Source organism: Homo sapiens, chromosome 17, assembly GCF_000001405.40.
Source record: "Homo sapiens chromosome 17, GRCh38.p14 Primary Assembly".
Classification (NCBI taxonomy): Eukaryota; Metazoa; Chordata; class Mammalia; order Primates; family Hominidae; genus Homo; species Homo sapiens.
Window position 1 is genome coordinate 57,085,591 of NC_000017.11, and position 26,746 is coordinate 57,112,336.

The 26,746-nt window shown below is 49.5% G+C and overlaps 1 protein-coding gene across 8 annotated transcripts in view, besides 8 other annotated features; it reads left to right on the top strand.

The window, feature by feature from the left end:
* The window catches only part of AKAP1 (A-kinase anchoring protein 1), a 36,099-nt gene that overhangs the window by 345 nt on the left and 9,008 nt on the right, over nucleotides 1-26,746 (top strand). The window contains exons 1-5 of one of the 8 annotated variants that reach the window (NM_001242903.2): nucleotides 166-484; nucleotides 11,001-11,173; nucleotides 19,851-21,588; nucleotides 24,435-24,568; nucleotides 26,208-26,334. In NM_001242903.2, coding sequence (NP_001229832.1) covers nucleotides 19,875-21,588; nucleotides 24,435-24,568; nucleotides 26,208-26,334 — 1,975 coding nt within the window. In that variant the 5' untranslated portion in view covers nucleotides 166-484; nucleotides 11,001-11,173; nucleotides 19,851-19,874. Of the gene's footprint in view, nucleotides 1-165; nucleotides 485-782; nucleotides 948-9,898; nucleotides 10,370-11,000; nucleotides 11,174-19,850; nucleotides 21,589-24,434; nucleotides 24,569-26,207; nucleotides 26,335-26,746 lie in introns of those variants that run through there. The other 7 variants (NM_001242902.2, NM_001370423.1, NM_001370425.1 and 4 more) reach the window with 7 other exon arrangements.
* Nucleotides 33-332: a silencer, noted in NCBI's record as "silent region_8745". NCBI's record gives its function as "represses an Ori minimal core promoter by ATAC-STARR-seq in GM12878 lymphoblastoid cells {active_cell/tissue: GM12878}" and the evidence as "EXISTENCE:reporter gene assay evidence [ECO:0000049][PMID:35858748]".
* Nucleotides 33-734: a biological region, named in NCBI's record as "H3K27ac hESC enhancer GRCh37_chr17:55163183-55163685".
* Nucleotides 232-734: an enhancer, noted in NCBI's record as "H3K27ac hESC enhancer chr17:55163183-55163685 (GRCh37/hg19 assembly coordinates)". NCBI's record gives its function as "activates a minimal SCP1, AML or CMV promoter by ChIP-STARR-seq in naive and primed H9 embryonic stem cells {active_cell/tissue: H9 hESC(naive and primed)}" and the evidence as "EXISTENCE:reporter gene assay evidence [ECO:0000049][PMID:30033119]".
* Nucleotides 613-702: a silencer, noted in NCBI's record as "silent region_8746". NCBI's record gives its function as "represses an Ori minimal core promoter by ATAC-STARR-seq in GM12878 lymphoblastoid cells {active_cell/tissue: GM12878}" and the evidence as "EXISTENCE:reporter gene assay evidence [ECO:0000049][PMID:35858748]".
* Nucleotides 5,822-6,371: an enhancer, noted in NCBI's record as "H3K4me1 hESC enhancer chr17:55168773-55169322 (GRCh37/hg19 assembly coordinates)". NCBI's record gives its function as "activates a minimal SCP1, AML or CMV promoter by ChIP-STARR-seq in naive H9 embryonic stem cells {active_cell/tissue: H9 hESC(naive)}" and the evidence as "EXISTENCE:reporter gene assay evidence [ECO:0000049][PMID:30033119]".
* Nucleotides 7,294-7,793: an enhancer, noted in NCBI's record as "H3K27ac hESC enhancer chr17:55170245-55170744 (GRCh37/hg19 assembly coordinates)". NCBI's record gives its function as "activates a minimal SCP1, AML or CMV promoter by ChIP-STARR-seq in naive H9 embryonic stem cells {active_cell/tissue: H9 hESC(naive)}" and the evidence as "EXISTENCE:reporter gene assay evidence [ECO:0000049][PMID:30033119]".
* Nucleotides 13,472-13,551: an enhancer, noted in NCBI's record as "active region_12426". NCBI's record gives its function as "activates an Ori minimal core promoter by ATAC-STARR-seq in GM12878 lymphoblastoid cells {active_cell/tissue: GM12878}" and the evidence as "EXISTENCE:reporter gene assay evidence [ECO:0000049][PMID:35858748]".
* Nucleotides 23,279-23,880: an enhancer, noted in NCBI's record as "H3K27ac-H3K4me1 hESC enhancer chr17:55186230-55186831 (GRCh37/hg19 assembly coordinates)". NCBI's record gives its function as "activates a minimal SCP1, AML or CMV promoter by ChIP-STARR-seq in naive H9 embryonic stem cells {active_cell/tissue: H9 hESC(naive)}" and the evidence as "EXISTENCE:reporter gene assay evidence [ECO:0000049][PMID:30033119]".

A 26,746-nucleotide genomic window follows, 5' to 3' on the forward strand; every position in this document is an offset into this window, starting at 1 on the left:
TCCCTCCCTCGTCTGCGCCCCCTCTCGTCCTTCCCCGCCGGTTGTCTGCCCGCGGGCTCCTGACAGATCGCGTGTGCGCGGCTCTGGGCGGCGCTCTGCGGCCGCGCCGTCCTCCCCACGCGCGTCACTGTCCTCGGGGGCGGGGGGCGAGGGCGCGACGCCCGGGTCGCCTCTCTGCACCTCAACTTAACCGGAGCGTGCACACCCGCCTGCGAGGCTGACCCGAGCGCGTCCCACCCAAGGTCGCCCAGCCCCGCGGGCGTTTACTTTTCAAAGGTCGTGTGTACACAGTCTGAGCCGGAGCTGCCCCTTCACTTCTGGAGCCTCGCCCAACTTCTCACCCTCGGCTCGCCCGCCGGCGCAGCCCCTGGGAGTTCCGTGCGGCGAGCCAGGGGAACTGGGAAGATGGGCCGGGACATCGGCCGGTTGTGATCCAACCGTGTTTCGGGCTGAGGGACCGTTCGAACCGAATTGGGGTCTGGAGGTCGGAGGCTCAGGGGCGTCTCGGGGGGAATTTGCATTCGTAGCCCCTGCAGGCGTGTCCGGAGGGGTGGAGGCCGTCCAGCCTGGGGTGTCTGCCGACCTCACGCCCGGGGGCCCCGACGGTCACGTGTCCGGCCCCGCCTGCGGCCCAGGGCCCGGGGTCTGCGATCTGGAGGGACCGCGCCAGTTTTGGGGTTACGATGTGCTAGGAGAGGCAGTGGCTGGATGCCTCGAACGCGGGCTTTCTGGCGTTCAACTCTTTTGTGCCCTAGCTGAAGGTCTTCCTGTTTCCCTTCCAGGGAGGGATAGGAGAAGAAAGGTGCTGATCGTGGTAGGCGGTGCTGTGGCGACTCGGAACGGCATGGGAGCCCTGGGCGTTTCGGGATCTTCCTCTCCTGGGGGATGTCCTGGGTGGCGGCGCCTTCCTGCCGCCGTTAACACAAACCCGGTGGACTTCGCTCCAGGTGCGAGTCGAGGCCTCTCAAGCTGGGTAGGGTGTATGCGCAGGGCAATTAGTGAGGTTAACCTGGGTATCTTTCCCCTACTGTAGTGCGCGTTACTTCGTGTTTAGATTTGTCTCCAGTGAAATCTAGGCTGCTGGACCTGGTGCAACAGTATCTGTTAGTTACTGATCAAGGAACACCGTTCACAAAAAGCTATTAATTCTGGCAACTAGTAGCCTTACAAGCTCTTGTAACTGCTAAGTCCTTCCCAAATTAGTACCTTTTTTTTTTTTAACTCTTTATTTAGAAAGCAAAGCTTGGACTCTTAGCACCACCCATCCACTTTGCTCTTAAAGGTACAGAACATCTTTGAAATGAAGAAGGCTGCCTGACTTGATCATTTATATAATTCCTCTGATCTTGGCATTGAAGTGGTTCACCTGCTGATTATTTAAGACCCTGAGCACTGGAAGCAAGTGAAGTTATGTTTTGGGAACCTTTTGACTTGTGTTGAACTTTTCTTTAACCTCTAACTAGTTTTGTAGGTTCTGCATAATTCTTGGGTGTATTCTCTTTGAAATATGGCCCTAGGTTAGAGGAGGTCCTCTGGATCCTACAGGCATGCAAATCACTAAAGCTTGAGTCCATTACTGGATTAATAGGCTCTGTCTTCATGCATGTTGTCAGATGATGGCTCAGAACTTGCAGGTAACAGATCCTAGCCAATGAGTGAGACAGGTCTAATGGATTTGTGTCTAGGTCTAGTTCCTTGTAGGAATATCTCTCCCATCTCCCAGTTGTTTCTAGGAAATGCATTCTCACTTGGCCACTGCAGGGTGACAGTGGAGGTGTCTGTTGTAAGTGGCCTGCTCAGGTGCTGAAGTCGATATGTCTCCAGTGTAAGGTTGCTGAACATCAATATTTAAAAGCAATTTATCTTGCTGCCTGGTAACCCAAATTATTCTTGAGCTTTGGACATAGGCTGGGTTGCAGCCATATTTTAGGGGAAGGCTGGTGTTAGCCTCTACAGTATTCCCTTTTCCTGTCCTAAAGACAAATGGAGATCATATTTGTGATACTGGGGACTGTGATAGGTGCTTAAGCATTGCTCTTCCCCTCTCCTCCCTGAACAATCCCTGAGACTGACTTTGTTTCTCTTGAATTACTTGAGTGACTTGAATTCTATTAAAAGCACCCCTCTCCTTAGCCTCTGACCCAGAAGCTTGTTTGGGAGGAAAAACGAATTGGTTTCCCTAAGCTTTGCTGGCTAGCCTCCTGCTCCCAGCCTGCAACATGACTTGATTGTGTGTGCATTTCAGGGCTTTGAAGAGCAGGCAGCTTGTAGCCAATGTACCCAGAGAGCTGGCCGTAGAGTTCCCCTAGGTCACTCCTTCCTAATCTTCCCTGTGAGTCTGAATGATTGGGCCTTTCTGTAGCTTGGTCTGTTTTCCTATTGTGGGGAAGTCAGTTGTTTCAGGTATGAGTTAATACCTTCAGCTTGTCATTCTCAGGCGTTTTCTTCCACTATGGGGAGGTAGTAGATCCTGTGGGCATCTTGTCCCATTGAAATCATCTCATATACTGTTTGAGAGTTGCTCATCTTTATGGTGGGGGGTGTATTTTAGTCCTAAATCTTGCTTCTTAGGGCAAGTTCTGTTTCTTCCATGTTCCTTCCTGGTGTAATACCTCAGGCAGTTTTCACTTTTATGATCATTTAACATTAAGTTCCCATCACATGTGGCATCCCACTGAAGGAACCTCCTGGCCTTGGTACCTAATTTGAAGCTTGGGCTGTGGAAAACATCATCAGTGAGCATGTTTGAAGTAGGACAGAGTCTGGCTGGAGAAACAGGTAGTGGGGGAGCTGGGAGCTAAACTTGAGAGGATGCCTCTTTCTTGATAGTTACTGTGCTAGGTGAGTTATGAGCACACTAATCCTTTAATCCTCACACCTCTGAGAACAGTGAGGGTGAAGCTGGAGGTCATTCTGGATTGTTTCAGTGGCTGTCACACAAATTCAAATTGAGGGGTAGAGGAACTAGGAAGCGTGGGTGTGGAGTTAAAACTAGGTCCTCTGGATGGCTTTTGTGAGAAGAACCAAGGAATATTCTTAAATCCCTGGGCTTTTCTCCTAATCTTTCTGCTGCTTTCTAAGTAGATTGTTAACATTGTGTGTGTTATCATTCAGCATTCTGAGAACTAGCTTTCCAGCAATAAATAGCTTTCAAGGTGTCCTTTGCCTTAACTTTTTCATTTTACTAAATGGTGCAGCCTTGTCCACATTCTGTCCGGGTCTTCACCATCTGGTTGTTTTTCCGGCTTGGTTTGATAGTTTGCAGCAGTCAGTGGTAAACATTGTGTTCCCTGTTCTGTAATGGTGGCTGGTTGTGTTCACCGAGCCAGGTGTCACTAAGGCCCAGTTGCACTTGGGAGCAAAGAAGGGCCCTGAGGTGAGTCCTGGAAGTAAAAATATGTATAACCTAGGGCTGATGAGGCTTGTTTCACTGCTGGGCTTAGCTGACAAGAGCCTGGGACTTGCTGCAGCTCTCAGAGCTGAAACCTGGCGGTGATTCTAGGCAGGCTGGTTGGCCTTCCAGATCTTGGTTTATTCAGTGGCTAAAAGAGGTTTGGTCAAAATTATCAGTATTCAGATTATGGTCCTGGGAGCCTTGGAGTTAGACCAAACGTGCCCAGGGGCCACTGGAGTGATGTGTTTGGGCTGGGGAGCACAGCTCAATGGGTAGTACATGTCAAAGACTTAAGGGGAAAAAAAACAACTCACTGTTCATCTCAAGTTCTTAGCTCTAAGGTGTGCTACTGTTCTAAATATTTTTTATTTTTAAAGATAGCTTTATTTGCCTAAATTTGTCCTGGGTGTGGGGAGTTTAGAGCTGCCTTGTCTGTAGGGTAGCTGCTAGCTGTGTGACTAATTAAACTTTTCAAAGTATTTTTAAAAAAATTTCTTAGTGACATTAGCCACATTTCAGGTTCTCAGTGGCCTCGTGTAGCTAGTGGCTGCCGTCCTGGTCAGTACAGGTCAAGAACATTTTCCATAATCGAAGAAAGTTTTGTTGGACAGCGCCGGCCTAGAAAGTTTTTTTTTCTCCAACTCTAAAAGCTTAATTGTCTCAACTTGTAAATCTCTAAAGCATAACATGTTTGAGCTTAGTCTTCCAGAGTCCATAAACCCAACAGCTTTGGTGACAAATTATCTACTGGTTGTCTCCATGGCATACTACAAGTGAGTTCTAGTCTGCCAGTTGGGAGTGGACGAACAGTTTTGAAACAGTTTGAGTGAGGACCTTCAGAAAGGACCTGGGGACAGGAGCGTGAAGCAAAGGTCCAGATGCTAAGCCCTTAGAAAGCCCTTTTGGTTTGAAGCCGTTTATTATCATAAAGATCCCTGCTGGTTTGTCCTTGGTCTCCAAATGTCAGATGTCAACATATTGTTACTTGGTCCTTCACCCACCTGATGACTTCCTACAGATCTCAGTGCGGCCCTTCTCTTAAACGAGGTTGTGTTTTCATTCTGCTGTTTCCAGTCCACCTAAATGTTAGGGGCCATTCTTCACAGAAGGTGTTGGGGGAGAGTGGGGCCACAGCGTGGATGCTAACGTGTTCTGTTGTGGCAGGGGTGGGGAGTTCTTTGTTTCCAGATGCCCCCTCTTCTAGTCCTGGGTGTGCTTTGTTTGAACCCTGCTAGATTGACCTTTGGTATATATAATGTGAGATCTCTTTTCTTGGAGCCAGGCAGCATAAAGGACACTTACTGATGAGCACCTACTGGCATATTAGTGGCTTTTTTTTTTCTGTGTCATTTTTATTCTCTGTCAGCCCTATGAGGTTAGTACAGTGATTAGTTTGTGGGTGAAGAAACAAGATCCGAGTAGAGTAAACTGGTCCCTGGACACAGCAAGGGCTGGACTGGCTTGGACCTGGGCTGGGGCGTGCTCCCCACCTCCTCCTCTGCCCCTGCCGCCCCCCATGCTCATTGGTTGTTGCTTATTTACTGCCCCTTTATCACCACATCCTCATTCAGGAAACTAAACTGGGTTTTACAAAGATTAAAATCATTGATCCCACATATGGAGTCTGACTTAAGTGTGTTCAGCCTCGTTACAACTCTGTGAGGGAGATATTCCCTATTACAGAACATCTTCATTTTATGGGAAACTGAAGTACAGGATCCTACTCTTAACTCTCTTGTCTTTCCAAAGCCATATTTTATCATCAGAATTATGCAACCATCGGGTGCTTTTGAAATGCACAAGTAATGACTATGAATAAAAAAAGCTGTGCCTGAGGGCTCAGGGAAACTGCTCTGAAGACTGAGCTGATTGAAAAAGACAATCCTGAAGTCACTAATTTCCCGACACCTGTCAGACCTCACTTGGAGGTCACAGACCATCTCCTGGCCCTCCAAAGGCTGTCACCCAGCAGTAGCTGGCCTCCTGATTAGAGGAGGCAGTAAGATCTTTTCAAGCACAGCCCCAGCCCCCATCCCTTCTCTGGCCTGGGCCTGGATGTGCCTTTGTGAGGTTGGGTCGATGACAGATCTGAAGGACAGTTCAGTCTTCTGTACACTCCTTCTTGCCCCTCCTTTCTGCCACTCCCAAGAAAAAGGAGCAGGAGTGATTCTCACTTTCCTGAACTGCCTTGGAGGGAGACCCACACTCAGCTGTGCCTTTAGCTGTCTCTGGGAGAAAAGGCCGTGCTGCAAATAACCTCCCTGCTTTGTCCTTTGGCTTTGGTGTGGCTCACCTGGCCAAGCATGTGCTGGTGCTATTTTTAGCAGGTGGCATCCTTTAGGAGGGCCAAGTGCATGTGGCTGCAGTGTACGGGACAGGTCCTGGTGCCAAAGCTGCTGCTGTCTCTGCTGCCACCGCCTCGTCAGGAGAGAGAGGAGAATAAAGCCACCCTGGAAGCTGCCAAGGGGTGTGTGGAGGGGGTGGCTGCTTAAGAGGTCTCCAGGGCTGCCTTTTCTATTCTGGATCTGTGGCAGGGGCCCAGCCTGCCTCCTGGTGCAGGCAGGCATGTGACTGAGGCAGCCCGGGGAGCTGGGGAGCTGGGGAGCTAGGTGTCAGACTGCTGCCTGGGGAGTGAGGACCCCTTGTTGCCCCAGCAGGCAATTTTTCAGGAAACCACATAACCCCATTAAAAACATTATTTATTTATTTATTTATTTATTTAGAGATGAGGTCTTGCTTTGTCACCCAGGCTAGAGTACAGTGGCTCGATCATAGCTCACTGCTGCCTTGAATTCCTGGGTTCAAGGGATCCTCCTGCCTCAGCCTCCCAAGTACCCGGGACTATAGGTGCACATCATGATGCCTGGCTAGTTAAAAAAATTTTTTTTGTAGTGATGGGGTCTCATCACCTTGCCCAGACCCATTTCAAGACTCCTAGGCTCAAGTGATCATTCCATGTTGGTCTCCCAAAGTGCTGAGATTACAGGTGTGAGCCACCGTGCCTGGCCCCATAACTTCATTTTTGTGTGAAGTTGCCCAGCCTAAAGGCTGGCCACTAAATGGACACTTAAAAACTCTCTAATAGTGTGGATTGGTGGGCAGTCTGATTCCTCTGGCTTAAACCAAAATGCAAACATGAAAGGAGGCATGGCCATAGACCCCCGGTGAGAATTCTTTACTGTGATGACACAGAAGCTGAAGAGGGATGAAAAAGCAGTTTGACCAGCAAGCTTGCTGGTTCCCTAGGCCACCCTTTCTTCTCTCCTTTTCAGTTCCTCCTTCCCTCTAACTTGGAGCTGCTAACTCCAGCCCATCTAACTGTTTCTGATTAAGAAAGCTTCAAGCCTTATAAGGCCCTCTGTTGCCTATGGTTTATGTTGGCTGGAGAGCAAGGTTGTTTTTTGCAAAGTCTGATTCAAAGAAGTGGCAAGGGCTTACGTAGGCTGTGTGTGTCCGCCTCCTGGGGCTGGACTGCCTTATTGGAACAGGTTCCTTTGAGGGAGCCTGAGAGTAAGGGGGGCTTATTATCCCTTACCCTTAGTGGTGGCTCTGTAAGGCTAATGTGTGGTGTGGCCACAGGGCTTCCTGGCAAGTGTATTCGCTGAGAACTTAAAGGTAAAAGCAAGCCCCTGTTTACCTACACAGTGTACCTGTCATGCTACCAGCCACAGAGGCATCCTGTTTCAGGAATCAAGTCTGGAAGCAGCTTCTGCTTATTAATTAAGAACTAAAGCCCCTTGGCTCTTCAGGCACATCGCTTTCCCCTCTGGAGAAAGTTTGGTGGACCGTGTCCCTTGGGGTTCTTGCGAGTCCGACTGGCCTTCCGCGCAGTGATGTTGGAGAGCCCTTTTTCTGAGAGCCATGCTCTGCCTCATCTTCACCTCCCCTCTTGCTACCTCTTGAGTCAGCCAAGCCTGTTCCTGCCTTAGGACTTTGGCACATGTTCTTCCTGCCTGGAACTTTCTCCCCGCTCTCCTCCTGCTTCCCCCCAGATCTTGGCACAGTTCTCAAGTGTTCCAGTTCTGATGCCACCTCTTCCAAGAGGCATTCCCGCCTCATTCTGTCTGCAGCTTCCCCTTCCAAGTGCTCCATCCAGCCTTTCTCATTTCAACCACAGCACACAGAAAAGGACTAGGTGACCGTTCCTCAACTCTCCCAGCTGGTGCCCTGCTACACGCACAGGGATATAGGTAATTCATCACATGCAAGGGCAGCCTTAGGGCTCAGTTCTCTCAATCAGTTGAGAGAGGCTGCAGGTCTTTATATTTAAGTCGCGGAATCTTTGCAGTATCTTACCTGTAATTTGACTCTCTACCCTTCCTTCCACCTTTGCTTCCTGAGGGATCTCTTTGCCTTATGTGCCCAGCGAACTTGGCTCACAGTGCGTGTTAAACTCTTTGTTAAATGACTGGCCCTGAGAGGTCCAGCCATCTGATGCTGGCTAGCCCTCAATGCCTTGCTTCCAGAGGGATCTAACCTGTCAATAAGCATGCTCTCTTTTTGATATTACTATTATGTCAGCTGGGCAGCTGGGGGTCTCTGAAGCAAAATTGGCATCAATTATTATAGGAAAATAAGGCCTTACAAGTTTGTACACAGATGAGTTGACATTAATGCAAATTTAGGATGGTTAATAAGAAACATAAAGCTGTGTGGTAATAGAGCATGCATTGCTACTTGTATGTATCTTAATAACGTGTTTTCTATCAAAACATTACTTGTAGAAAGGATTTGGCTTTTGACTGTGTACAAGGCTTGAAAGGACAGTCCTTTGCCCACTGCCCCCCACCCCCATTACTTTCAATTCTTCCAGCTGTCCCCACCATTGTCAGTAGTATTATTTTCTTTCTTTTTAAGGATTATTATCTGATTTGTTTTTCTGCTGTGGGAGATAGGATTTAGCTCGTTCCTATGCTTTTTTCTTCCCTCATCATCCCAGTGTAGAGATAGCCCAAGTTTTGGTCAAGTTGATCTTCAGAATATACATTATTATAATATGAACCTTGTTTATGGCTGCAAGGTTTTTAGTTTCCCATATTTCTTCTTTTCCTTCATTTTCTTCTTCTCCTCTCCTAGTTAATTTCCTTAGTTTCTTTTGCTTAATTTTCTGTCTCTCTCACCAGTTCCCTGACCACCTCGCAGCCTCCACCATTGCTGTGGAATGCCTGTCATTGGGGGAAAGTGGCTCTCACTGTGGCTCCACATACCAGGTACTCGCAACGGTTCCACGTTTCTCCTGGGCGCATCCCTTTTCCCTGGCTCTGCTTCCCCTTCAGCCTTGGAATTCCCTCTCCCCTTCTCTTGTCTCGTTTCTGGATCCAGTGCCCCTCCTTTCTTGGTTGATTTCCTTGTCTTGGGGGAGCCCATCGTTCAGTAGCTTGCTGAGAAGGTGTGCGTGGTTTGTGGCCCACAAGAAGCCAGCCGATCCATGCAGGGACAGGCACCTTTGAAGGCATGGATTGGGCCTTCAGTTGGGTGGCTGAAGTCAGCAGACAACTAGGCCTGTGGAGCCCTTCCGCCAGGCCAGGCCAGCAGAAGGTCTGGCTTCACTTTTTAGAGAAGTTATAAATGTGGCGATCTGGATTTGGGTACCAGGGAGTGGTGAAAATGGGTCCCCCCCAACTTTTTTTTTTTTTTTTTTTTTTTAAAGACAGGTCTCACTGTCCCCCAGGCTGGAGTGCAGTAATGCCATCATAGCTCACTGCAGCCTTGATTTCCTGGGCTCAAGTGATCCTCCCACCTCAGCCTGCTCAGTAGCTGGGACAAGAGGCATGTACTACTATGCCCGACTAATTCTTTTAAATTTTTTTTTGTAGAGATGAGGTCTCACCACATTGCCCAGGCTAGTCTCGAACTCCTGGGCTCAAGTAATCTTCCAACTTCCCAAAGTGTTGGGATTACAGGTGTGAGCCATCGTGCCTGGCTGAAGATGGGTCTTGAATGAAAGTCTATATATTGAATGGGGCATCCCAACTCTCCTTGGCTCCCATAATGCTGGCATTCAGGCTTATATTCTCTCATTCCTACCCCAAGATACTAGAACATTCTAGTCTGAGGACACTGGCACCCCATTTTCTGTTCCTCCTTCACCCCTAACAGGGCACTTCCATGTCCTATGGACAAAACTTTCAGTTGGTCAGTAGCAGAGAGTGGCAGTAACAGGCCCACTGGAGAAAAGGTCATTGCTTGTTTTTTGAGACAAGGTGTCACTCTGTTGCCCAGGTTGGAGTGCAGTGGTGCGATCTCGGCTCACTGCAACCTCTGCCTCCTGGGTTCAAGCAATTCTCCCACCTCAGCCTCTCGAGTAGTTGGGACTACAGGTGTGCGCCACTATGCCTGGGTAATTAAAAAAAAATTTTTTTTTTGTAGATACAAGGTCTCACTATATTGCCCAGGCTGGTCTTGAGCTCCTGGCCTCAAGCAATCCTCCCGAAGTGTTGGGGATTGTAGGCGTGAGCTACCGTGGTGGCCTGTTTGGGCTTTTTTTTTTTTTTTTTTTTTCTTCTGCCCTCCACTACTCCCCGCCAAGACTGAAAGTGCCTCGAGGGCAGTGCCTTGCCTGATTAATTTGTGTCCCACCATGCTTTTCTCTGTGAGTGCCAGTAATTATTTGTTGAATAGAAATTACCTTCTATGCTTTTATGTGATTTCTGGGGTGGTCGTAGTTCACTGTCTGCCATTAGGAAGATCAGGGTCTTACCTCTTTGGTTTTGCCCATGTGAGGTGCTGCGAAGGGTTTCTTGCTGCACACCAACATCTTTTCTGATGTCTTTACTGGCTTTTAAGTCAGGTTGTTGTCAGATTGCCATTTCATACTTTTTGGGCAGTTTTGTGTAATGTCTTCTGTGGTCGTGGGCGGGAACTCCATGTACCCAGGAAGGCATTCCTGGCACCTGTGTTGTGACCATCTTTAGAAACCTGGCGGAATTCACTTGTAAAGCAAGATGGTTGTCAAGGCCAGAGGTGAGGGGCAAGGTGAGTGTGACATAGTCTTCAAAGTTTTAAAATCCACACCCCTACCCCCAAAATGAAGTGATTAGGAAGACCTTTGTAGGAGGTGCTGATGATTTTTCCTTCACGAAAAGAGGCATGTGACTTGGACCTGCCATGGATTTGGCCAGCAGAGCAGGAAAGAGACTGGGCAGTTCAACCTCGGGTACTAAGTTTTCCAGAGCAGGAGTTGGTTTAACTTTTAGTTGGGCTGGCGGAGCTCTTACTTTGAGGCCATGTCCAGAGATGGTATTTCTGGCTTTTGGCTTGTCTTGTCTTACCTAGAGCACCTGGTAGTGGATTCAGGGTTTTCATTTTGGCCGTAGAAGGCTTTGCCAAGCAGGTACTCAGACACTACTGGGTTAAGCTTCTGGCCTTCCTTCTGTGAATTGGGCTGGGAAAGTGTCCCGAGTTCCTGACAGCTGCTCTACGTGGAAGGGCAGAAGCACCCACAAAGTGTGCTGGTCTGGTGGTGCTGGCCCCCCTGGCTTCTCTGTGGGCCATCACAATGGAGGGTGGGGGACAGTCCTAGACAGGACCTCACAACCCCACTGTGAGCTAATTTGGGATCTCTAGGGTACCCACATGAAGTCATAGCTTACTGTGACTTACACAGGCCCCTGAGGATGAAGGTAACAGTCCTGTGAGCACTGAGGCTGGGCTGGGACCAACACCTGAGCCATGGCTCCAGCACTCTGATTCCTGGCCCAGCCATGCTGCTGAGGGTGCACAGCCCAGGCCTACCATCGCCCCCACCCTTGGTGGCAGAACCGAGCACTACCCAGCAAGGTAGGTGTTGGCGGCTGCAGCATGTATCCAGCCCTCCTGTTCATTGGGGCCTTCTGGGAACACCCTTTAGAGCTGCATTGTCCAGTAGGTAGCTGCCAGCTGCAGGTGGAGAGTTCAAGTTAACCTAAAGTAGAATTCAGTGCCCTAGTCACACTGGTCACATTTCAAGTGCTCAGTAACCTCCCATGACTAAGTGGCTGCCAGTATTGGATAGCAGTCACTCTTGAGGGTCACCGAGACCTTTACCTCTTGTGACCTACTCTACTTTACCATGTTGCAACTGCTGCGACTATGGCTCCTGTGGCAAAGGTCAAACTCTTTGTCTCGCCTGACCAGCACTTCAGCTCCTAGGATTTCTTCCTGTTTTACTTTGGGACTCACTGTTCCCTCCCATGCCCAAAGATATTAGAACCTCAATTTATGTCCTGTCCCCCTCCCTACCCACCCACTGCAGCCTAAGGAAATCCTGGCCCTCTTTGAGAAAGCCTTCCTGGGCTCCCTTTGCCCACTTCTCAGCTGCTTGTGGCGCAGGGGTGTGTGTGTGAGTGAGTGAGAGAGATTGATTCTTCCATCAGAATCGTGTGCTTCTGGTGATCAGAATCTTCTGCTTATAGCAACTTAAACATATTTGAATGAATGAGCAAGGTGAATGACTGTGACCTGATGAGGAAATAGGTAAATGCATCTGATACAAGCCAAGAGGCGCTTTTGGAATCTTGCGGAGAACTCCGAGTTTGTGATTTTCCTCGACCAAACTCCCATGGAAGGGAGTATGCCTCTGCCTGGCCACAGACTGCTGTCATTCTCTGAATGCAGTGGCTGAAGTGCTGGGCTTTAGGTTCTGATTCCCTGCCCTTGGAAGACCCCCTTCAAGGGGAAGAGTCCCTCAGCAGGAACTTAATGAGCTGGGCACTCTGGAGGTGGAGTGTCTTGGGCAGGCTCCTTCCTATTGGTAGAACACCTGGGGACAGCCTTTGTCAGTGTGAACACTGGAATAATGGAAGAAATGTTCAAATTCCAGTGTAAATGTTCATTCAGAACGCAAAGTGGATGTGGCTTCACTGACCAGGCCCAAGCCCACATTGGGCTTGTTGGGCACTTGGCTCCTAAGCTGTTGTTTTTATGGTGGACTTTCCCATCAGTTACATGCGGCTCTTTTTGCAGTCACTGCAGCCAAATTGGCTTAGTCACTGGGACCAACACTCTCTGTACCATTGCCAGGGATTTGTTTTCTTGTTTAGCAGAAGGCTGTAGCCTGCAGTTACCAGGTTTGTCAGCTGAGTTGAGAGTGAGGCCATTACTTTTCTGAGGGCTGTTCTGAGAAGCTGCAGGTACCTCCCTGGAGAAAGAAGAGATCCTTTGGAACCTGGAGTGAGCAGATGAATGCTGAGGCCTGTGGCTGTAGCACGTGCCTAACTTCAGCTCTGTGTGACCACTTGGCAACTAGCCAGTATGCATCTATTCCCAGGCAAATGGACCTGCTAAAAATAAGCAGGCAGCTATTTAATTCCAACAGATTCAAAATGACAGAGTGTCCTCCCCACCAACCCTAGGGCAGGGCTCTGCAGCATCCTTCTGGGAGGCTTTTCTCTGACTGCAGACAGGTCTGCCCTTAGTCCTGGGCCTGGGGGAGGAGCCAGCCTTTGATTAGCTTGTGAGTAGGAAGGCTTTGGGGACTACTGTGATACCACTTAAATGTTGAGAAGTTCAGGTTTACAAAAAAAAACACCTCAGGGCAAAGAGAGCAACTCCGAAGAGTCTGGCCCAGTGCAGGAAGGAAGATGTCAGAAGAGCCTTGTAAGGCTAAAGGGGTATGTGTATGTATGAAAAGAGGTGGCACTACCTGGGCACTCAGGAAAGCCTGATGCATTTTATACCACCTCTTGTAGCCCTGTCGGACCACGTAAATTGGGCAAAATGGCATCTTACCAATTCCAAGAAGTCTGTTTGACTGAGGTGAGAGTGGCTCAGGGGTGAGGGAGTGAGGGGCTAGCTGATTTTTTTTTTTTTTTTTTTGAGACGGAGTCTCACTCTGTTGCCCAGGCTGGACTGCAGTGGTGCGATCTCAGCTCACTGCAAGCTCCGCCTCCCAGGTTCATGCCATTCTCCTGCCTCAGCCTCCCAAGTAGCTGGGACTACAGGTGCCCGCCACCAAGCCCCGCTATTTTTTTTTTTTTTGTATTTTTAGTAGAGGCGGGGTTTCACTGTATTAGCCAGGATGGTCTTGATCTGATCTCGTGATCTGCCCGCCTCGGCCTCCCAAAGTGCTGGGATTACAGGCGTGAGCCACCGCACCTAGCCTAGCTGATTTCTTGACTAGTGGGAAGTGGGGGCTGGTAGAGGGGCATCTGTGAGGTGTCTCCTGGCAATGGGTGCCCTTAGTGAGACCCAGCCAAGGCCTGCTGATCCCAGGGTCTCTTGGCTCTGTTCTTGTTGGAGGATGGTTCACATCTCTAGGCACAATTCCCTGGTAACAAGGAAAAAAACACATCTTCCACTCTGCTCTTCGGGGATCTGGTAATCTCTGTTCTCAAGTGCTGGTGGAGCGCTTCAAGCCAGGCAGTTTCTGTTCCTGGAAGCAATGGTGTGAGAAGGGCTTTATCTTGAGCCACTCACTGCATAGAAGCAGTGACACCTGGTTCCTGATTGCTCAGCCTTGGGTCTCTGGCTCTAGTCCAGAGTGCGGGGTGAAGGCTGGGGAGAGATGGGCACTGGGAATTTAGGTGGGACATCCTGGATTCTGTGGGTTGGGTGAAATGGGTAGCAGTATTCAGTGCCTTCTAGGAGGCCATCCCTGGCTTGGAAATGTTGTAGAAACCATGTTTTCCAGGCAGTAATTCTTCAGTAGCTCCAGTGACTATAGGGGTGACTCTAGAGGTGGTGGTCTGAGGGCTTAGAGCCTCAGTCTCTGGGGAACAAGCTGGGCAGGGAGGGCTAGTGGTGGTGTCCTGGTAAACTACAGAGCAGCAGGCAGAGATGGGTGTTGTGGCCTGCAGTGGTGATTCTGTGCATTCTGTCTGAGGACTGAGAACAGGGCAGGTGAAGTGCAGGGAGCCTAGTGACAGAAGGTGCTGGGGACTGGGTATGGGTGGCCCAGGGTACAGGACCAAAGCCAGGGCAGAGGTGCGTGCTTTGAGTGTTGGGTCTCTACCTCACTGTAGTATAGCCCCCTTATGGGATCTTGGGAGGCTGGGTGTGGTGGTGTGGTGTGGGACCAGCAACTAACTGCTGGAGACAGGCAGGACCCCTTGGGATCAACTTTTAGTTCTAAAGGGGTGGGGCTTCTCCCAGCCATCTTGAGAGGTGGTTTGTGTTTTGAGCAGACAGCCAATTAGAGTCTGCGGCCTTGGGCCCTTGATATGTAAAATAAGGAGAACTAGCCCCCGGTGGGGTAGCTGTTAGGATTGTTTTTCTTCTCTACCCCATCCCATTTAATCTTTTTCCTGCGATCAGATAATTGCTATGGGAGTCACAGCTATAAATCTGGGTGAAATGGGATTGCCTAGTTAATAAGGAATCACAATCTAAATTTACTGACCTGGCCAGGCGCGGTGGCTCACGCCTATAATCCCAGCAGTTTTTGAGGCCAAGGTGGGTGGATCACTTGAGGTCAGGAGTTCGAGCCCAGCCTGGCCAACATGGTGTGAAACTCCATCTCTGCTAAAACACACACACACACACACGCACACACACACACACAAACATTAGCCAGGCATGGTGCCGTGTGCCTGTAATCCCAGCTACTTGGGAGGCTGAGGTGGGAGAATCACTTGAACCTAGGAGGCAGAGGTTGCTGTAAGCCGAGATCGTGCCCACTGCACTCCAGCTTGGGCGACAGAGCAAGACTCTGTCTTAAATAAATAAATAAGTAAACAAACAAACAAACTGACCGGATGAAAACCTGGGTTTAGACTCCACTCCTCTTCCTGCTGGCATGTGCCCTGTTAGGTAGGATTTGAATCTTTTGACAGCAGGCCACGGGCACACTCCCCTATCCATTGCAGCCTTTCCTCATAGCCACTTTCCCGTCTCAAACTGTCCTTACTCTTTTTTTTTAAATTATTTTTTCCAGCCAGACCAACATGGAGAAACCCTGTCTCTACTAAAAATACAAAATTAGCTGGGTGTGGTGGCGCATGCCTGTAATGTCAGGTACTCAGGAGGCTGAGGCATAAGAATCACTTGAACCCGGGAGGCGGAGGTTGCGGTGAGCCAAGATCACACCATTGCCCTCCAGCCTGGACAACGAGAGCAAAACTCCCGTCTCAAAAAATTAAATAAAATTATTTTTATTGGGCAGCCCCCAAACTAGAATAGGTGTAGGGAGACTTCCCTGTCTTTACTCTTTTATTTGAAAGACAATTGAACACAAAGCAAATACAAGGCAAATCTCCCATCATTACCACTTTTTTGGGTGTGGGCGGGTTATTACAGAACAGTGATTCTCTCTTTCTTCCCCCCAGGATGGGGTCTCACTCTGTTGCAAGTGCAGTGGCACGATCTCAGCTCACTGCAACCTCCGCCTCCCTGGCTCAAGTGATCCTCCTGCCTCAGCCTCTGGAGCAGCTGGAATTATACCACCTGGCTAATGTTTTTTAGAGACAGGGTTTCACATGTTGCCCAGGCTGGTCTCAAACTCCTGGCCTCAAGCGATTTGCCGCCCCCTCCACCACCCCCAACCCCCGCCTCCCAAAGTGCTGGGATTTTGGGTATGAGCCACCACACCTGGCCTCAGAACAGTGATTCTCAAACTTGACTGCACATTGTAATCACCTTGGTTTTAAAAAAACCCTGCTGCTGGGGTCTCACTCTAAGATTCTGATTTAATAGGGCTGGTGCTGCCTTGGCCTTGGGCTTTTAAAAGCTTACCAGATGATGCTAATGTGAAGCCAAGTTGGAGAACCGGTTGTGAAAGAAATTAAAAATCTCTCCTCCCAAAAGGAGGAAGTAAGACTCTTTATCTGTAGGTAAGAAATCCCAAGGAAATCTACTAAATGGTTAGAATTAGTGAGTTCAGCAAGTTTGCAGGATACAAGATCAGTGTGTAGAAACTTCCCCTCTCCTACAACTGAATGGCTTGTTGTGTGTCCTTCCCAGTTTTTCCATGGGATTATGTGAACATAGACATTCCATACACATGGTGGTCTGTACCTTTTTGTTTTACGTATCCAGGTGATTTTTTCCATGTCGGCACATGAGATCAACTTCTTTCGGTAACATCGGTATGTCAGTGGATTCCATAATCTACCTAGCAGTGATTCCCCTGAAATGTTTGTTAATCCCAATTTTGTTTCAAATGATGCCTCAGCCTGTGCAGAGGTACGTGGGTTAAAAACATTTTGAAAAAAAATTTTTTAAGGGACTAGTCTCACTGTGTTGCCCAGGCTGGTGGCAACTCCTGGACTTCAGCGATCCTCCTGTCTCTGCCTCTTTAAGTAGCTGGGATCACAGGTGCTTGGCTTTGTGGATTTTTCTTTGTTGTGGTTTTGTTTTTGTTTTTTTAATTTAAAGATGCCAAGTGTGGGATTTCAGAGTTGTAGGATGTGGTTATGAGCTTTTAAGAGCTATCATAAGGCTCTCCGGAAAGGTAGTACAGACTTCCCCTTTTCTTGGCTCATATAGCGCCTCTTCCCCACAGTTCTAGAATAATGGGTTCCAGATTTAATGTGGGAGAGAATTTAGGTACCCATCCCTTGGCTGTATGCCTTGAGCTTTTTTTTTTTTTTGAGTCTCGCTCTGTCACCCAGACTGGAGTGCAGTGGCACTATCTTGGCTCACTGCAACCTCTGCCTCCCGGGTTCAAGTGATTCTCCCGCTCAGCCTCCCGAGTAGCTGGGAGTACAGGCTCCCGCCACAACTCCCGGCTCTCTCTCTTTTTTTTTTGTATTTTTAGTAGAAACAGGGTTTAACATGTTAACCAGGATGGTCTCAATCTCCTGACCTCGTGATCCACCCGCCTCAGCCTCTGAAAGTGCTAGGATTATAGGTGTGAGCCACCGCACCCAGCCTCCTTGAGCTATTTTAACCTTCAAGATAGTAATTCATTTGGCTGGGCACCGTGGCCTGTCATCCCAGCACTTTGGGAGGCCGGCTGGCGGATCACCTGAGGTCTCGAGTTCCAGTCTAGCCAACATGGCGAAACCCCGTCTCTACCAAAAATACAAAAATTAGCCAAGTGTGGTGGTGGGCGCCTGTAGACCCAGCTACTCTGGAGGCTGAGACAGGAGAACTGCATGAACCTGGAGGCAGAGGTTGTAATGAGCCGAGATCACACCACTGCACTCCAGCCTGGACGACAGCGAGATAAAAGGAAAACAATCTAGCAAGGTTCTGTGTTTGAATGTGAAGCAAAACGGTAGCACTAAATTTCTTCCCTGAGGAATTGATGTAAAGCCTTAGCCCTGGCCACTGCCTAGCCCTGCATTGTGCTTCAAATGCTATCATTGCTGCTGCTTCAAATATCAGCAAGAAAGTTTATCTTTAAAGATATAGGGACTTTCAAATGGAGGTGACCTTCTCACTACCACTGCCCCCACTTCATCACTTCAGGGGCAGAACACACCTCTTAGCATTCCTTCACAAACTGTAAGGTCCTTCTCAATCCCCTAGGGATCTTGTTAAAATGCAAGTCTGAGGTGAGACTGGGATACTGCATTTCTAGCAAGGTCCTAGGCAATATTCAGGACTTCTGGTACATGGATCGCACTTTCAGAAGCAGAGTCCTAGAGTAGTGGTTCCCAGCCTTGGCTGGAAAGTAGAACCTCTCAGGGAACTTTTAAAAGTACTGATGTTCTGGTTCTGCCAGAAAACAATATAAGTCAAACCAATATGAGTTGTTAAAACATGTGCATTTGTTATCTCTAAAAGAAAACAAACCCAAATAAGGTGTAATTCAGCTTGTCAGTTGAAGGATTTTTGGTTTTAAAAAGACATTACTTTGGCAGAGAGATTTAAAGTTTGCTGGCATAGGAAGCATTGAATGTAAGTGTTCTAGAATAAGCCCATCATATACCTTTAGTGAGTGTTAACTGCTTTGCAAAGAACTTTCTATATCTCAGCTAATCCTTATACCAACCATCCATTAAGAGATGTGTCCCCATCTTACAGATGAGGAAAAATTGAGTTTTCTATCCCCTTTACATGTCTGTTGCCTTCTTCTAGGCCCTTACTATTCCTCCTTGCTTAGACCTAACTGACTTAGGTTTCTAGGTTCCTTCTGCTCGATATACTTCACTTTTCTTTTTTGAGATGGAGTCTTGATCTCGGCTCACTGCAACCTCCACCCCCCTGGATTCAAGCAATTCTCCTGCCTCAGCCTCCTGAGTAGCTGGGATTACAGGCGCCTGCCACCATGCCCAGCTAATTTTTGTATTTTTAGTAGAGACAGGGTTTCACCGTGTTGCCCAGGCTAGTCTCAAACTTCTGACCTTAGGTGATCTGCCGAGCTCTGCTTCCCAAAGTGCTGGGATTTCAGGCTTCAGGCATGAGCCACTGCGCCCAGCCTCGATTCACTTTTCATCCTGTTCCCAGAATTGCCTTCTAGAAACAATTTGATGTGTGTGCCTTGCAGACCTATGCTGGTTCTCTGTTGTCTGCAGGATAAAGTCCAGACTACGCAGTGGGGCCCTAGGACACCCTCACTGACCCCACGATGGTACAGATGCTCCTCAGCTTACAATGGAGTTACATCCTGGTAGACCCATTGTAAGCTGAAAATAGCATAAATCGAAAATAAATACATCTAATGCACCTAACCTACTGAACACCATAGTTTAGCCTAGGCTACTTTACATGAGCTGAGAAGACTCACAGTCGTCTACAGTGGGGCAAAATCACCTAGCAACACGATCCACTCTGGAGTGCCCGTTGTTCACCCTTGTGATAGAGTGGATGACTGGGAGCTAGCATTGCGAGAGAGTAGCGCATCACCTATTGGTAGTCCAGGGAAAGATCAGAATCCAAAATTGGAAGTATAGTTTCCACTGAATGGGTATTGTTTCCCACCATTGTAAAGTTGAAAAATTCTCAGTTGAGCCTTGGAAGATCAGGGAGCGCCTGTATTTGAATCTTCCAAGTCTGACCTGGACCTTCATGCTGCAGTTTGCTGTGTTGGTCCCTCACCCTGGAGCATCTCCTTAGCCATTGGGAATTTTATTCCTCCTTCATTCTCACTGTCTCTAATTGCTGAGTAACAAAGTTCCATTTCATTGACTCATGATTTTATGGGTAGATGTGAGGGAACCATGCACATGTGGATTCCATGGGGGTTTGAAATGCTCTGATGCCACTTGATAGAAAAAAATGTTCTGTGAGTTTAGAGAACTGAGCCACACTGAGCAGAGCTAGCCCCTTTTTGGGGAACATAGAGAGAATTTGGCATCATGAAGTGATGAAGGGAGGGATTTGGGTTAAAGAATAGAATGCTCGGTTTGTTTCAAGAGGGTGCGTGAGTTGGGGAGCATGGAGGGGAAGATGCCTCTTCCTGGCCACTGACCCCCAGTGGATCACACAGAGGGTGGACTGGTACGAGCTGAGAGGTGTGCTCCTCTTGGAGGGCAGGGAAGGCGGAGGAGATGGCTCCAGCTCTACCCTGTTGACTGTCTTGCATGTGCGGTTGCCAGTATCCTCCTACCTGGCTCTGTAACATCCCTCCTCCCCGCTCTCCTGCTCTCCCCAGGTGTAATTACTTCAAGCCTCCAGGATGGCAATCCAGTTCCGTTCGCTCTTCCCCTTGGCATTGCCTGGGATGCTGGCGCTCCTCGGCTGGTGGTGGTTTTTCTCTCGTAAAAAAGGCCATGTCAGCAGCCATGATGAGCAGCAGGTGGAGGCTGGTGCTGTGCAGCTGAGGGCTGACCCTGCCATCAAGGAACCTCTCCCCGTGGAAGACGTCTGTCCCAAAGTAGTGTCCACACCCCCCAGTGTCACAGAGCCTCCAGAAAAGGAACTGTCCACCGTGAGCAAGCTGCCTGCAGAGCCCCCAGCATTGCTCCAGACACACCCACCTTGCCGAAGATCAGAGTCCTCGGGCATTCTTCCTAACACCACAGACATGAGATTGCGACCAGGAACACGCAGAGATGACAGTACAAAGCTGGAGCTAGCCCTGACAGGTGGTGAAGCCAAATCGATTCCTCTAGAGTGCCCCCTTTCATCCCCAAAGGGTGTACTATTCTCCAGCAAATCAGCTGAGGTGTGTAAGCAAGATTCCCCCTTCAGCAGGGTGCCAAGGAAGGTCCAGCCAGGCTACCCCGTAGTCCCCGCAGAGAAGCGTAGCTCTGGGGAGAGGGCAAGAGAGACAGGTGGGGCCGAAGGGACTGGTGATGCCGTGTTGGGGGAAAAGGTGCTTGAAGAAGCTCTGTTGTCTCGGGAGCATGTCTTGGAATTGGAGAACAGCAAGGGCCCCAGCCTGGCCTCTTTAGAGGGGGAAGAAGATAAGGGGAAGAGCAGCTCATCCCAGGTGGTGGGGCCAGTGCAGGAGGAAGAGTATGTAGCAGAGAAGTTGCCAAGTAGGTTCATCGAGTCGGCTCACACAGAGCTGGCAAAGGACGATGCGGCGCCAGCACCCCCAGTCGCAGACGCCAAAGCCCAGGATAGAGGTGTCGAGGGAGAACTGGGCAATGAGGAGAGCTTGGATAGAAATGAGGAGGGCTTGGATAGAAATGAGGAGGGCTTGGATAGAAATGAGGAGAGCTTGGATAGAAATGAGGAGGGCTTGGATAGAAATGAGGAGATTAAGCGGGCTGCCTTCCAGATAATCTCCCAAGTGATCTCAGAAGCAACCGAACAGGTGCTGGCCACCACGGTTGGCAAGGTTGCAGGTCGTGTGTGTCAGGCCAGTCAGCTCCAAGGGCAGAAGGAAGAGAGCTGTGTCCCAGTTCACCAGAAAACTGTCTTGGGCCCAGACACTGCGGAGCCTGCCACAGCAGAGGCAGCTGTTGCCCCGCCGGATGCTGGCCTCCCCTTGCCAGGCCTACCAGCAGAGGGCTCACCACCACCAAAGACCTACGTGAGCTGCCTGAAGAGCCTTCTGTCCAGCCCCACCAAGGACAGTAAGCCAAATATCTCTGCACACCACATCTCCCTGGCCTCCTGCCTGGCACTGACCACCCCCAGTGAAGAGTTGCCGGACCGGGCAGGCATCCTGGTGGAAGATGCCACCTGTGTCACCTGCATGTCAGACAGCAGCCAAAGTGTCCCTTTGGTGGCTTCTCCAGGACACTGCTCAGATTCTTTCAGCACTTCAGGGCTTGAAGACTCTTGCACAGAGACCAGCTCGAGCCCCAGGGACAAGGCCATCACCCCGCCACTGCCAGAAAGTACTGTGCCCTTCAGCAATGGGGTGCTGAAGGGGGAGTTGTCAGACTTGGGGGCTGAGGATGGATGGACCATGGATGCGGAAGCAGATCATTCAGGAGGTAGGAGGGTCTCGGGTTCGTTTAGAGGATGGGGCGCTCCCAGTATTTCTTGGAGAAAGGCTGCCAGTCTGCCTCTCCCTTCTGCTACTTGTGCAGCAAAGTCATAGTGCTCTTCAGCTCTTTATCGCAACCTGCAGAGGTCTGGACACGGCGTAGAGCTGGTGGGTAACTGAGGAGTTAGATTGCCCTGAAACCCCAAGTCATGGGAGCTGTAACTTGGTTCCTCAACCGGTGACCTTCCCCAGTGAGCCCTTCCCAAGGAACTAGCGCCAAGTTGGGCTCGCTGATTAACATTAGTGTGCCTCTTTTTCTTTGTTTAAAAAAATTATTATTATTTTGGTGCAGATGGAGTCTTCCTTTGTTGCCCAGGCTGGTCTCGCACTCCTGGGCTCAAGTGATCCTTCCGCCCTCGGCCTCCCAGAGTGCTGGGTTTATAGGTGTGAGTCACTATGCCCAGCCCATTTTTTTTTCTTTTTTAAACACTAACCTCTTTGTGTGTGCGTGTGTGTGTGTGTTTTAATGGAGAGGCCTCCTTAGCTTTACTTCCCTTGAGTGCCAGGTATGGGTGTGAGTGTTTTGAATGGTTTTTATTTCCTTTTAATCATGTGCTTGTTCCCATGTCTTCACCTGCTTTCCTTCTCCAGAAGCTCTTACAGGGTAAGTGCCCAAAGAACGGCCACAGCTTTGAATACTTGTGGGAGGCTTGAGCTTCCTGAGTTGTCGCTGTCACCTTTGCAGAAAGCCTCAGCCATTTTCTTTCTGTGCAGTTGCAGCTCCACCCCCGGGAAAGCGGGGCACTTTGATAACGAGGTGTCCTGGGTTTTTCGAGTGCTGACCCCAGCGTAGACAGTTCAGACCGCTAACTTACAGGTCAGCAGCTCCTGACCCTGCTTCTGCAGGCACCCTGGGGTGTTTTCATTTATCTCATGGAGAGAGGCCACGAATATCCCGAGTGGCTCTCTGACTTGTTTGTCCTGGAGCCATTCCCTCCCATTTCAGCTCCGGGTAGGTTGGGAATCTTTATTGGGAATTTTACCACTTTCAGCAGCATCTAGTTTGTACCACACGCTACATTTTGTCACCTCCAAGATGCTGTTAAGACACTACTGTTTTTATGTACCTTGGAAAGAAAAAAGTGCTGCCAGTCATGATTATAGAAGGCAAGATACTATATGATGCATCCTAATCTCGGGATGTTTAAATGTTTCTTAAAATACTGCATCTGAAAATGGGTGATTTTTATTTTATTTATTTTTTAAGAATAAAGGAGTTTCCCTTTGCTTACTGCCCCTCAGCTGAATTAACAAGCCCCGCAGCCTTGTCTGCCAACTCTAGATGGATAGTAGTAGCTACTCAGACCTGTTGAAGTCTTCTGAGTTTAGGCTTGAACCTAAGCCGTGGTGATGGGCAGGGAGGTTTAGGGATGGCACGTGGAAATGAGGTAATACTGTCCACGAGCATGCGGTGGGTGCCAAGCACGAGGTTAGTGCCTCGCATGTACCTTCATGTCAGCCCTGCTTTGTTTGTGAGGAAGTTGAAGCTGAGAAGGGGACCAGGGACCACCCCACTGAGGGAGCTGGAAGCTGGCCTTTGAGTGCAGCCTGCTAGAGTCCGGGTGTGGTTCTGAGCCACTGCTGGGAGCCATCGGGATGGCAGGTGTTAGCCAGTCCCATTCTGTGGGGCAGAGGCTGGATACTGTGAGTGAGCAGAGCTCCCCGCCCCCTCGCCCAGCCCCTGTCAGCCTGTTATGCTTCCCGCAGGCTAGCCAAGCAGTCTTCCCCCAGAAGGGGTACTTTTCCCTGCATGAATCCTGTTCGAAGCGCCTAGTGTTAAGGGGGGAAGTCATTTTGAAGGTGATTCTTCCTTAGCTGGGAGCAGGATCTCTTGGGCCTTAGTTCTCTGCATCCAGTGTATGGGTTACTTGGCAAAGGATTATACTCAGGGTTTGGAGAAACCATGTGGAAGGTAACCTAATTGGTAGACTCTCAGGAGTGATCTATTTCTGGTGATTGAGTCATCCATATTTAAGCCAGGGCCACTTCTCTTGAGCTGATCTGGACCCGCTTTTTTGTGACGGTCCCTTTGGCACGCTCTTGAGTGAGAGTGGAACAGCCCAGGTCGGGAGCAGAGTCTGTTCCCATTGGGTTTTCTTGGGCATGAGCTTTGGCTCAGTCTTTTGACCAAGGGAGTATTTGAGCCAGAAGAGTGTTCAGAGTTGCATGAATCAGGCCTAAGCAAAGGGAAAGGAGACTCTCCTTTTTTAGTCCACATATGGCAGAGGAACGAGCGGGTCCCCGCTAGGTATAAGAATGGGGCCCTCAGGCAGGCCAGTGAGGACTTTGTCTAGCTCTGCTGGGCTGAAGGCCAGTACCTATGACCCTGGGACTGGGCCCTGGGGACAGGAGACTGACCCTTGGTCTGAGGGGGTAGGATAGTTGGAAGGGTGTCAAGGTGTTTGTGGTCCATCGGTCTGGCTCTCAGGACCATGTGGACCTCAAGCGTGTCTCCTCCCCCGCCCTCTGGGCTCCCCTTCCCTGGGCGCAGTCTGTCTCTTCCAAGTTCACCACTTGTGTCTCTGCTCCAGCAGCTGTGGCTGGGTGCGGCTGCCAATTAAGCAAGTGGGACTGTAAGTGACAGGCTAAAATTAGGTGTATCGACACCCCCAGTTCTCCTTTCATTGGGGTTGTTCTGAGCCTTCTAGACTGTAAGTTGACAGTCACCTGCCAAGCTTGAGGAGCGGGTGTGGGGCAGGGCCTCCTGGGAATGTGAGTTTGGGAAGTTCTTGGTTACTGGCTGCTCTGAGTGGGGTCTGTGTGTGTGCGTGCCTGCTGCTTCTTCCCCTGCAGGTTCTGACAGGAACAGCATGGATTCCGTGGATAGCTGTTGCAGTCTCAAGAAGACTGAGAGCTTCCAAAATGCCCAGGCAGGCTCCAACCCTAAGAAGGTCGACCTCATCATCTGGGAGATCGAGGTGCCAAAGGTAGGGGCGGAGTCCCCCAGGCTGGTTCTGTGGTAAGCCCAAAGCTCCCTGGGGCCAGGGCCATTAGACCTCAGGGAGGGAGGGGGCTGGGAGAGGGACAGTAAACCAGAAGGAGCCCTGGGTCAGCCAAAGGCCGCAGGGAAAGGACACGCTACACTTTGCCAAGGCTCAGAGAGCTTCCTGCAACATGGAATTCCTCCAGCTGCCTCCAGGAGCATCTTATTCTTGTACTTCTCAAACTCGCAGGCCTGTGTGTCTCCCTTGGGGGTGGTTCTTGCATATTCTGGGGCTCAGATCTATTTGGAAAAAAAACACCAAGGCCGTGGGGGCCAGCCAGAATCCCTTCACTGAGCTCTGCTCAAGTGCTCCAAGTGTATTTTATAATTGAGCAAAGCATAAATCCATATTTTAGAGAACTTGAAAAGTATAGAAATACATGCAGAAAATAAAAATCAGCTCTAATCCTACCCTTGAGAGTGACTGTGAAAGACTTTTATTTCCTTCTCATCTTGCACCCTGTGGTTTTTAAACAAAACTGAGATTATGTCGCTTTAATTAATACTTTAAATATTTAACAATTTAATTTTCGTGTGTTATTCTTTGAAAATGTAACTGTAACTGCATTATTCACTGTGTGGATGTCAGTTTACTTCATCAGTCCCCCATTCCTGAGTGCTTAAGTGGTTTCGAGCTTCTTGCTATTAGAACTTACAACATATTAGCTTGATCTTGATGTTTATCTCTGGGGCTCAGAAATAATTTGTCAGACCGCATTCTCCCAGGGCCCTGGGCTCTGTGCTCAGGTGGAGACTTGGCTTGGTCTGAACTCTGGGTCAGAGTGGCTGTTTTGACCCTGGGTTGCGAGGTCTCTTGGTGGTTTCCTCCCTGGGGGGCCCTGTTATCCGTCCTGCCTGCTTTTCCTTCAGTGGTTACAAAGGGCATGAAGAGAAAGGCTGTGCCTGAGGATGGACCATGTCCCCAGTAGCTCCTCCGGGAGGGGGTCGTTGGCGGTTGTGTGGGAGCCCATCTTACGTAAGGGCTAAGTTTGGCTGCTTCTATCTGCCTTGAACTCTGGCGCACTGGGCACTTCTGCATGCCTCCTGCTCTGCAGGCTTCAGCCTGCTGTCACTTGGCAGCGGGAGCCCAGGGTTCTTAGACCTTCATTTTCAAATCGAGCCCCTTTATCTTTGGATCTGAGTAGACTTGAGGGAGAGGGGCACGAGAAATCGAGAAACTGTGTGCTGGTGAAACTTCTCAGCATGGCTTTTAGAGGAGAAGATGCTGCTGCCTTTGCAGCTTTCCGGGTCTGGGCCACATTGTTGGGATGAAATGGGAACTGCTTGGTCCTGGAGCCAGACTGCCTGGTTCGACTTCCTGGTTAGCAGCTGTGTGACCTTAAGGTAGTTACTTAGCCTCTCTGGGCTTGTTTCCCCATATACAGAATGGTGATAAAGTTATCTGTGTTTCACAGGTACTATGAGTAAATGTAAGTGCTTAGAATAGTCCTGGAAAATAAATGCTGACATGGTAACAGCTAATATGTTTGAGCATGATCTTGTGTAAAACAGAAGTAGGTCTTTGGGTGTCCAGGGAATTGGTTTCCCTTTAACCCTCTCATCTCTTTTTGTCTTTCTGGAAGCACTTAGTCGGTCGGCTAATTGGCAAGCAGGGGCGCTATGTGAGTTTTCTGAAGCAAACATCTGGTGCCAAGATCTACATTTCAACCCTGCCTTACACCCAGAGCGTCCAGATCTGCCACATAGAAGGTCAGTAACATCTGCTGCTTGTATTGCCTCTTACCTGAAATATTAAATAGAAGTGAATAGCATCTGAGTTTCAATTGCTATCTTTTTGGAATAGGAAACCCTGCTTCTCATCCCAGGGAAGGGAGCATTAGGTATCTTCCCTGCAGCCTTTTCCCCATTTCAGGTGCCTGCGGGAGACTCAGGTCCCTCCCTACTCTGATCTTTGGCCAGGAGAAGTGTGGGTGCTTGGTTGGGCGGGGCCTGGGTCCTGGGTTCATAGTGCCCACCACCCCATAAAGGCTTCTCTCAAAGCAGAAGTGCCCTGTGTGCAATTCCCCCTTGGCATTTTCACAGCTGCCTGCCTCTTCTGTTGCATTGAAAGCATGGATCATAATGGCAGAGGTATCATTTGAAAGGCTTAGATGCCTTTCTT